At 38.1% G+C, this 11907-nt stretch overlaps 1 long non-coding RNA gene across 2 annotated transcripts in view; it reads left to right on the forward strand.

The window, feature by feature from the left end:
- LOC105377460 (uncharacterized) overlaps positions 1 to 11907 on the forward strand; it is a 106316-nt gene that overhangs the window by 18341 nt on the left and 76068 nt on the right. Inside the window, exons 6-7 of one of the 2 annotated variants that reach the window (XR_002959803.2) lie at positions 6778 to 6976; positions 7478 to 7557. This is a non-coding gene — a long non-coding RNA (uncharacterized LOC105377460). Of the gene's footprint in view, positions 1 to 6777; positions 6977 to 7477; positions 7635 to 11907 lie in introns of those variants that run through there. The other variant, XR_001741862.3, reaches the window with a different exon arrangement.

The following is an 11907-nucleotide window of genomic DNA, read 5'->3' on the forward strand; positions in this document are numbered from 1 at the left end:
GGTAGTCCTGGGAGCTGAGTGCTATGAAAAAAATACAGGAAGAAAATGAAAGAGAAATTAATGGGAAGGAGGGAAGAAGACTACAAGCTGCTTTGCGTTGGGTAGGCAGGGAAGACCTATTTCATTCAATGAAATTTTCCTGAGTTTTCCTGTGTTCTAGCCATTATTCTGGGCTCTGAGGATACATAGTAAACAAAGCAGATGAAAAATACAGTCATCAGAATTTTCTTTGAAGGTGTGAGACAGGAATAATATGGAGGCAGTCAAACAAAGATATGAAGCAAAAAAAGGAGAAAAAATTAGAACAAAGTTCCTAAGAAAGGAGCAAGCTTAGTATGTTGGAGTTTTGGGGAAAAGTTCAGTGGCTGCAACCTAATGACAGGAGAGAGTGGGAGAGGGTTGAAGGGGGCAGGCCAGGTGAGCTGAGCATGTGGACAAGTCAGAACTTCAGAGAGCATGCTAACAAGTGGTGATTTTATTCTGGTGCAGTGAAAAACCTACTGGAGATTTTAAGTAGGAGAAATACATGATCTAATTGATAGTTTGAAAAAATTGCTCTGTGAAGGAGGGAATATAAAAAACAAGAGTAGAGACAAGGAGACAAGCTGTGGGGCTGTTACTATATTCCATGCCATCTCATCCATTCTTTTTAGTAAGAATAAATGCTGCTGGTCACCTTTTAGTGATTACTTTTTAAAATTTCAAAATATTCAGAGATGGGGATACTTTAATCTGAGGACATTAAAATATACAGCATTTTTATGCTTTGGTAGACCTAGAAAAAGTTTAATAGACTTAGGTAAGACTTACATTAAAGTGATTACTTTTGATTTAAAGGTAATAGCGTTCAGCTGAGAATGGAAATAATTTTCACCTGGTTGGCAATATTTGCAATCACTTCTGAACCTTCAGTTTTATCCAGTTGAATAATAAAGGTCTAAAATTTCCTTCATTTGCTTTTGTCAGAGCAAGTTATGTTACCAATAATACCACCTACAAGAGAGAAGAGCCATGAGAAGTGTCAAGGACAATCTATGAGTAACTTAAGTGGAGGCTGATATAACATATTCTCTAATATATGATGCCCTGATAGCATTTGACAAGACCATTTGGAAGAGACCCAGATGGAGACAACAATTCTAGTTAATATGCTCCATTGAGTGATGTTCATCAGCTGATTGTGTGAACTCAGGCTGAACTCTAGTCATAAAATTTGGAAAGAAGGCAGTTTGAGAAATGGTATATTCTTCACTGTGAAATGATTGACCTGAGCATGAAATCAATTCTAAAAATAACTAAGGGGCAGATAAGTTCATGACCAAGCTTATAAAAATGAGAACCACTCAAAAGATCTCCAGTTTTATTCCTAAACCTATCTGTGCTGAAGAGCTTTTTGGATGCTTCGCACAGGACTGAAATTCTTGCCTCTAATTTGGACAATGACAGTTCTCTGTAATCCACAATTGAATGGTCACTGGAACATGTTAGACACGCAACATAGTCAAAGAATGCATAGATTAGGGTAACTATGTCAATTATAAGTAAAACCCCTGTAGACTAATGTAACTCTATCTGTTAGGGAGATGTGTACTAGCAACTGTATTGTTGCTATATGTATATATGTATATATATGTATATATATATCTAGTTTTGAAAAAGTTAATGGCTTTTGTTATTGTCTCTTTAAAAATGTAATATAGTTTTGTTACAGAAAATTAAGAAGCTAGAAAAAAAGTATAAAGAAAAAGATGAAAATTAGCTATAATCCCAACAAGTGAAATTAAGCTCTATACATATCCTGGCATCTCCCCCATCCCACAAACCCCTCACCCACAGAAAGAACTTTTAATGTAGAACTGTCTGCAATCTTTTAAATATGCAACAAACACCATTCCTTGTCATCAGACCTACCAGATTTTATCATGGTGTGACTGTAATGTCTGAGGTTTCTGAAATACTTTAGAATTTATACATTCAAAGCAGTCACCTTGAGAGGTAATAACATTCATTTATTCAAATGCAGATGCTGAACATAGCAGATTTGTGACAATCTCTTACTGCTCACTTAGGGGAGGCATACAGCATATGGCCATGGCCTGCTCTATGTCCTGTTTTTAGGATGGGAGAAAAGAGACCTCAGACACTCCTCCTTCTGACTCCAAGGATAAGGCAGTCAGAATGTATCTGGTGTGTACTAGAAGAGGAAACATGCTGCACATTGGGACCCCAGGTCCTTTGGTTTTACCTGTCCTTTCTGAGGTGTGGGCATCCTGGGGTCCCTCAGAGATTTCTGACCCAGCCATCTCAGTAAGATCTGCTGTGTCCTGGAGGTGATGAGTGCTCTCCAGAGTTCATTTGAAAGTCAGGCCCTTCTCTATGTGCTCCTACCCCTGTGCCTGTCATTCTCTTTACTGTTGAGGAGGGACCTTAACTCCTGGCAGGCGAACTATAATTAAGATCAATGGGTACTAAAGTAAGCCTATCAGAAATCTGGTTTTTGACAAAGATTTGAATAGAACTTGGTCCTTGCCCTCAAGGATCTCACAGTATGATAAACTTGTCTTTGCTTTTTAAATTACAGTGCCGTTTCAGCAGTCAGGCACCTTGGGTACTTGACTGAATCTTGTTCTTTTCCAATATATTTCACATGAGACTTCATGTTATCCTGGACAACCACCTAATGAGAGTCTAGGCTGAAGTCTTCATTCCCCTTCTGCATGTGCTCTGCTGTTGGCTTTGTTCAGACCCTTCTTTCTTCTCATCTATCCTACTGTAATGGGCTTTACATTTTAAACATAACTTGAAATAACAAATCATGACTATAATACCTGCAAATGGTTTGTATTTTGTTTTATTTTTATTGAGAAGTAGAGAATACAGTAATAGGGAGGAAAACAGGGAATTAGGATAGCCAAGGGTTGGAGCATAAGCAAAGGAATAGCAGGTGCAGCCAGTCTGCATAAGCAAGAGAACAGCAGGTGCAGCTGGTTCTAGGCAAGATCAGGCAGCATGCAGGCCACATCCTCATTCCTGTGATAAAAAGACAGAAGTTTCCACTTCAGCCTCTGCTTGACCATGAGCTAAGCCTCCACTTCAGCCTCTGATTGGTCACAGGCCAATCCTTCATAGGGTGTAGCCAATTGGAGGCTTCTAAAGGGTACCTAAGGGGTGTTGCCAAGTTCTTTTGGCTTTATAAAGACCCTAATTGGGGCCGGGCACAGTGGCTCACACCTGTAATCCCAGCACTCTGGGAGGCTGAGGCAGGTGAATCACTTGAGGTCGGGAGTTTGAGACCAGCCTGGCCAACATGGCGAAACCCCGTCTCTATTAAAAATACAAAAAAAAAAAAAAAAAAAAAAAAAAAACAAAAACCAAAAACAAACAAAAATATTAGTCAGGCGTGGTGGTGGGCGCCTCTAATCCCAGCTACTTGGGAGGCTGAGACAGGAGAACTGCTTGAACCCCAGAGGCAGAGGTTGCAGTGAGCAGAGATCATGCCATTGCACTCTAGCCTGGGTGACAGAGTGAGGCTGTCTCAAAAAAAAAAAAATCCCCAAAAACAGAAAACCCCAATTGGAGAGGCTTTGAACCCCTTGCTTAAGCCCACTCCCAGTCTGTGAATGGTCTTCAATAAGTCTGTGCTTTCCTTACTCCATTCTTCTGTTGCTTTGTCTTTCATTGCTTTGTTCTTTTGTTACTTTGTGCATTTTGTTCAATTCTTTGTTCAACATGCCAAGAACCTGGACAACTCTGTTGGGTAACAGTGGTTACCAGAGGCTGCTGGGGTAGGGGAGATGGGGAAAGGAAACTTGTAAATATTTTTGAAATCAAAATTATAAGGAATTATAATAAAAATTATTAATGAACATTAATTAATCACTAACAGTGCACCAAGCACCATTCTAAATGATTGGTAAGTATTAACTCAATCCTCACTATTGCTCTTTCAGAAGGTGGTAGTGTTATCGTCAGTACATTTTACAAATAAGAAAAGTCTCAGAGAGATTAATTAACTTGTCTAAGACCTCACAACTAGTAAGTGGCAAAACTTGGATTCACACCCATGTTCTCTGGCCATAAAAACTATGTTTTTAACCACTATGATATTCTGCAACAATTTTCTCTTCCAACCTCTCCCCGCTGTTCATCTTATGCTCTAGAAGCTAACACTCACACTGGCAGTCTTGGTGTTTTCCAGGTAGCTCATTCAATCTTGGGGGGAAACCTTATTGTACAAATCATCTTTTTGGCCCTTTCTACTTCATCAGTCAGAATTCTTTCATTTGCTTTCAGCTTTCCAAATATTTATTGAATTTACTCATCTCTTGTTATTTTCCCTTCTGTTATTTTCATTTTGTTTTTATAATTTAGACGGAGTCTTAGAAAAGAGAGAATATAAACTCAAATGATCATCTGCCATCTTGATCTAAAAGGGGGATACTCCAGACGTAGAGGAGTATGATTTACACTAGAGTCCATCAGGTGTGACTTGTGACCAGACTTAAGCCTGCTTTCCCAACCTTGTCTCCGACTTTTGAGCCCCATATGTTTTAATGTATGTTTCTAGTATATGCTTCACATTTCCCTGAGTCTGAGTGCCTCCCTCTAATCTCTAACGCTTTAAGTCCTCCTGAAAGCCATAGCTGAATATGATCTCTCTTCCTCAGCTCAACTGCTAGAGGACTGGTAGTACCTAACCAGTGGTGCGTATCATGTTTTCTCTTTTATTATAATAATTTCTGTTTTTTTTTTTTGAGACAGGGTCCCACTGGGTGGTCCAGGCTGGAGTTCAGTGGTGTAATCTCACCTTACTGCAACCTCTACTTCCCCAGCTCAGGTGATCTTTCCCACCTCAGCCTCCCACATAGCTGGGACTACGGGCATGCACCACAACACCTTGCTAATTTTTGTATTTGTAGTAGAGATGGGGTTTTGCCGTGTTGCCCAGCCTGGTCTCGAACTCCTTGGCTCAATCGATCCTCCTGCTTCGGCCTCCCAAGAAGCTTCTTATGAGTATTAGCAGATCCTTTTGCCGTGGAAAAAGAACATTCAGTTTGAAATCAGGTGCTGTAACAAAATCGTGACCTATATGGCATTAGGTTAGTATATGGGTGTCAGGAGATAAAGAATTAGATAATAAATGCTAGAAAGCAGCCTATTTATGCTATGCTGAGGTAAGCTATTTAGTAAGTTTTGTCTACAATAACTTTGAAAAAATACTACGTATCTTCTGCATCTGTAGTTTAGGAGAGCTTAGAAAGAGCTCACATTTTAGTGTTTGTTGACTGTTACTGCTTTTAGCAATATTGTAAGAAAAAATGAGTTCAGGAAGGTATTGGCTGATTTTCCAGAAGAAATTAAAGCTATCAAAGTGTTAGAAAAGCCAAATACATCTAGTCCTAAAACTGTAGGAGATAAGACTGAAAAAGACTTAGAGGCAAAATACATATCAATGCTTGTCATTAACTGAAGGAACTCAGCCCTATGGCTAAGATCACAACGAGAATATAGTTTTCATCTTCGCCCATTATTTCACTAGCATCAAAGAAGCTGCCATTAAGTTAAAGGCAAGTGCTCAAAAAATAAAGAGATTTAAAACTATGTCTCTGAAATAACTTTGGGTGTAGTCAGGCAAATGGAGCTCAGTGAAATTGATTAGAAATCAGCAAATTGATTAGAAATCACAGGTTTCTAAGGGAATCGTATTGCCAAAGTAATCATGAGACTGACTTGAAAAGCCTTTGCCTATTTCCTCTCTAAAACAAACCTAGCATCGTAAGACAATGTGTTGCAAAATCTGAACAGCTTGCAGTGAGGGCACACTGCCTAACACTCACTTAAATGTGGCCATAGAATTAAATGACCAAGGAAGTAACTTTCAAAGTGCAAAGCCAAGAGCCATGGTGAACAATGACATTTCTTCTACTTCCTGGGAAGGAGTCTTCACAATGTTTGCCCAGTGGATTCTATCATTGCCACGGACCTATGACTGATGTGTGTTTCACATTAATCTCTCTTTTGAATGGTAATTTTTATTGCCCATATCTTAGCCCAGCTCTACCAATGTGTTTTGGGTATGGTAGTGGGCAGATTACTTTACTTTTCTTAGTTTATTGGTTTTCTGGCCATGGGAAACTGCATTTCAATCTAGTGAGAAAACAGTACATGCCCCAAAATTCTTGGCTTTGAGCTACATGCTATCAGCTTAGATCCATAAATGATGATAGAAAGAATAATCACTTTCCCCACAGGCCTAGAGTAATATTCCTGTACCATTACCTGAGAAAGAAATAAACTTCTTGTGTGTAAACAAAATTATGCTTTGGGACTTAAATTGCCCTAGTTAATACTGTATACAATCAATTAGGTGGGATAAAGTAACAATAATCTCAGGCTGTGAAAATACTCAAAGTCAAGTGGGTAGCAGCAAATAGGCTGGGTAGGTGTGGAATCGGGAGCACATCAAGGCTTGAGGATACAGCAAAGTATCTGCTTACAAGAATAGGGCTAGCCAAGTGGGCAGAAACCAGACAGAAGAGTTAGGTTTCAAGTCCAGTTTTTAATCCTGGTGGAGGAATTGTGGGGAAAGTCATTCCTAGAAATACAAAAACCAACATTGGTCACTTTGCTTTAAGAAACTTCAAATCATCAAGAAAACTATTTTTACTTCCCTGTCTGCAGAATCCTTGAGAAAAAAACTCTAGGTCTGTTGTAGTTTTGATTTCAAAAGGAGTAAACTGGTCTATGACATAATCACTTCGGTGGACTCTATTCTAGACACAGTGAAGGAGTGAGATGTGAAGGTGCTCTGTCATTGCCTCAGTCAAGACTTTCATGGTACATTGGAAGAAAGAGAAGCGTGAACAAATTGCATGATACTTGAGGTCATGCTGTGTACCTGTATTGAACAAGAATAAGGGAAGAAAGCTGGGAACCTGGATCTCCCATATATTGGAAGTTTTGTAAAAACCTTGAGGTGAGTAAATAAAAACAAATTCTTAAAGGTTTTTCAAAAAACAATTGATTACATGGTTATCATGTTTTAGAGGATTCTGTTTAGCTTTAGAAGTGAAGAGCTATATGGGTCAGAGAATGTGGCAACTTATAAGTTCTATATCTTTTGCTCAGATGGTCCCAGTGAGAGATGAGGGCTTCATTTGCTTTTCTTTTAGGTTTTCTTTATAAGTTGTCTTAGTCCATTCTCACGCTGCCATAAAGAACTGCCTGAGACTGGGTAGTTTATAAAGGAAATAGGTGTAATTGACTTACTGTTCCCCATGGCTGGGGAGGCTTCAGAAAACTTGCAGTCAAGGCAGAAGTCACCTCTTCACAGGGTGGCAGGAGAGAGAATGAGTGCCAAGCGAAGGGGTAAGCCACTTATAAAAGCATCAGATCTTGTGAGAACTCACTCACTATTGTGAGAACAGCATGAGCAGCATGAGGGTAACCACCTTCATGATTAAATTACCTCCCACAGGGTCCCTTCCACTACATATGGGGATTATGGGAACTGCAATTCAAGATGAGATTTGAGTGAGGACACAGCCAAACCACATGGTAAGTCCTGGTGGGAACCGTGGTCATTGCTATATAGGATGACTATTACAGTTCTAGAAATAAACTCTTTCCTAGAGCAGACTTATTTTGAGGGAGAAACAACAGAGGCACATTTTTCTGCCTTCTGTTGCTGGGAGTGCACTCTCTTGTTGCTTCCTCAGGTGCTAAAATGGAGAAGTAGCCCGATTTTTCAAACTAGGATTTGAATTATGAATTAAAACGTATTAATCTGATGAAGGATTATATACACACTTGCTCTTAATATTATGTCAAACTGATATATTTGACATATATATGTTTTTTAAATTTAATTATTAATTTATTTATTTACCTTAAGTTCCAGGATACATGTGCAGAATGTGCAGGTTTGTTACATAGGTATACATGTGCCATGGCGGTTTGCTGCCCATATCAACCCGTCATCTAGGTTTTAAGCCCCGTTTATATTTTTATTGAGGTAAAATATACATATATAATTTGCCATCTTTACCATTTTGCATATACACTTCAGTGGTAATAAACACAATTGTGTTCTTTATTTTGCCTTCATCATCCCCTCCCTGCTCTCCTTCCCGTCCTCTGGTGATTACCAATCTACCCAATCTACTTTCTGTCTTCATGAAGTCCACATGTTTAGCTCCTACATATGAGTGAGAACACGTGATATTTGTCTTTCTAATATGTGTTAATATTAAAAAAAGTTTTAGAAACACTTCACATTTAAAAAGTGGAATCACATTCCTTCCAAGGTATACGAACTAAGTTGTCTTATTGTTGAGTTAGGAAACAGATATTTCTGGCTTTCCTTCCCTTTGAAACATTTCTCCTTCAGCTTTCAAGGCTTATTTCTGCAGAGTCACAGCACAGTTTAAACACACCCCAAAAAGCATGTTTCATGAGATATGAACATGGGGCAATACCAAGATGTCTCTGGTCTTCAGTTTTGAAGTAGAGCTCTAGCTTAGAAATATTCAACAGCAACCAGGAATGTTAGTACTGCATTGTAAGTCCGTGGCACTATTTCTTGAACAAATACAAGAAGAAAGAAACTACTGAGTGTTGAAGTTTTTCTTTTTGAGCTTTAAAATTTATGCACTACATATTTTTTTAGTTCAGAATAATCATACTATGTTTTCTATTTTTTCATTAAAAATTCATTTCTACACATATTTTCACTTGTAGACAAAGTGTACACGCACTTTTTAATTGGCTACATAATAGTCTATTTTGTTAATATGCTAATATGTAAATTATAACTGACACATAGACATTACTAAGTTAGTGAACATTTGGGTTATTTTCTTTTTGCTATTTGTTGATGCAATTAATATGTAAAGTCAATTACAAAATAATAATTTACACTTTTTTGTAATTTTACTGGAGCACATTCTTCAAAATGGAAATACTGGGCCAAAAATATATAGACAAATTTGTGAATTTTGGAATATATTGCTCTATTGTTTCTGAGTCAATTTACAGTTACTAATAATGTATAAGTATTTTTTCCCATTATGCCTTATCTAAGTCATCAACAAATGCTTTTGCTACATTAATACTTCTATCTGTATAATGGTTGTATTAAGTAAACAAGACTCATAGAATTCAATTAGAAATAATTTGAGTCATGGCTCCTGTGTCCTTTTAAATGTCTTCTGTAGAACTGGTCCTTGCATTGTTCCTCTGCCCAAACATCCCATTACTCTTCTGGTCACCATTAGGTAATACAAATGGCTCTCCAGTTTGTAATTAAAATGTCTATACCAATGCAATAATCAACATTTCCATTCTGATTTAAAATTAATGTTTGTATTTCTTCTCTTCCCTGGATTCAGGAAAGGAATGATCTAGTCAACTTCTCCCCAACCCCAAACTGGAGCATTTATTCCTTTTCTTCCATCTTGCCACTCAAAGTTTCTAAACCCTCCAGCACTGGAACACAGGAAGGAAAAAACTAGGTAAAGGAGTAGGAAAGTCCGACTAGACCAATATTTCACAGTGGTCCCACATTTTCTCTTGGCAGAGTTTTACATTTGAACCTTCCTCTTATAGGTATTCTTGAGAGTTCTTCAGAATTTTCCCATCACTTGGGACTTTTCATCTGATATTCTCTTGGCTTGTATAAATCCATGTCTGTTTCAGTTGTTTGCCTGCATCCTTCTTCAGTCCCTCATGGGTAAACAAAGTATTAGATGTCTGGCAACACTTCTGTTTTCTTTCTCTTAAAAGTTATTGGCCTCTCTAGGAAGTCATTTCCAACATGACAAAAGATAACTCACAGGAACATTTTTTTTTTTGCAGTTGGTGTGTATAGAGCCCACAGGAAACTCATTTTTTCACTGCCTCTTAAAACTGTAGGAATGCTTGTCATCCCTAGCTTTCCAGTATCTCCTTAATATACTTTCAGGGCAGGACTGGGGCCATTTTTTTGCCCTTTAGATATCTCAAGTAAGAGTCATAATTCTCTGACATTCCAAGGACACATTCAAGTTCTCCCAAGACCCTCTAGAGCTCTTGACAAAGTGAAGAGAGAACCTCCTCACCTCTCCTCCTTAGGAGAGACCTTGAAGACACACAAACAGCTCTCTACACTCCCTTTTGTTCAGTCACCAACTCCTTACACTTTTATTCTTTTACTGTTGGTGAGAGTTTTAGAATTGTACAATCTTTAGACATTTCCTTTGGAAATTCTGTATTAAGTCTTATATGTCAACCTGGAATGCAGTCTTTATTGGATATAAGGTGTCAGCCCGATCATCTATTTTGGTTTTCTATTACTTTAGCTAAGACTCTTTCTATTATAAATGACAAAAAGCCTAATTTAAAAAAACCAGCTTAAGCAAAGAGGGGATTTATTGACTCCCATAACTGAGAAGAGGTTTTGTCTGCTTAGGCACATCTGGATGCACAGCTCTTCGGGACCTAGCTCACTTTCTCATTCTTCCTCCATTCCTCTCCCTCTCTCCTCCAGCTGTCCTTCATGTGATGACTTTATGTTCAGACAGGTTATGCTGATGTATCCAGCCTAGTCTGCTTTCCATGTTAAAAATGATCCCAGGTGGTCTATATCACTTTCCAGTGTTCAAATTTGGAACCATACGCATACTAAATTTGATAATCAGTCAGATGATGAGCACTCTCACCTTCCCTTTCTCATGATTTCCTGGCCTGGCTGTGATACCTATACACAAGTATTTTACACCATTCTTACTCCAGGCTGCTCAGCCAGTTGTCAATTTTAAGATCCCTCATTCTATGGTCACACTTTTGACATTTTAAGTGTAGGTTTAAGAACAAATATTATCATACCTCTTAATAATTAATTTCTTTTCATGGGTAAATAAGGTATTAGGAAATAATAAGTGTATTTTAAAAAATGAATAATCACAACTCAGGGTACAAAACTATGACTGTATTTTTTCCATAATTGGATTTTTTTTTTATTTTCTTTTTCTTTTTTTTTTTTTTTGAGTCGGAGTCTTGCTCTGGCACACAGGCTGGAGTGCAGTGGCACGATCTTGGCTCACTGCAACCTCCGCCTTCCAGGTTCAAACGATTCTCCTGCCTCAGCCTCCTGAGCAGCTAGGATTACAGGTGTGCACCACCATGGCCAGCTAATTTTTGTATTTTTAGTAGAGATGGGATTTCACCATGTTGGCCAGGCTGGTCTGGAACTTAGGTGATCTACCCACCTCAGCTTCCCAGGGTGCTGGGATTACAGGTGTGAGCCACTGCGCTCAGCTGGATTTATTTTCTATTTTGAGAACCCACCTGTTGTGTCTTTTGCAGACAAGTAATATAGTATCTTGCAGGTAAACTTATAAAACATAACTGTGCTTATCCTTTTATTTTTCTTTCTCTTGTATTAATTATGGCTTAACACTAAGCTCTACAGCTATATACAAATTCAATATAAGCACTTTTACATTCTTTAAAGATAAATTAGGGCTAGTTCTGAAAAGCTGCTTATTTTCCCATACAAAAGCAGATTTTGTATAGAATCATGTTTGAGTCATCTTTTGCTGTAATATACCTCTTTCCATCAAAAAGCATTTGTGCGCTTCCTCCTTATGGTTTAACCTTGGTTTAGTTTCTATGCAAAATTTAAAAAAATCCAGGGGCTTTAGTCTGAGGGAAACAGTTGTGGAGAATATCACTCTACACATTATATCAACATGTAAATAAACTAGACACTTTTCAGGTTTAAGAAGATACGGGAGAGAATTGCAAAAGTTGCACATGACTGCCATGAGGATTATCTCTCACTACATGAGAGTAAATTTTTTTCCTTTTGGACTGATATTAATAGTTTCTTCTTGTTTTTCATTTTTCTGTATAAATATATAACTCTTG

This window comes from Homo sapiens, chromosome 4 (genome assembly GCF_000001405.40).
Source record: "Homo sapiens chromosome 4, GRCh38.p14 Primary Assembly".
Lineage (NCBI taxonomy): Eukaryota > Metazoa > Chordata > Mammalia > Primates > Hominidae > Homo > Homo sapiens.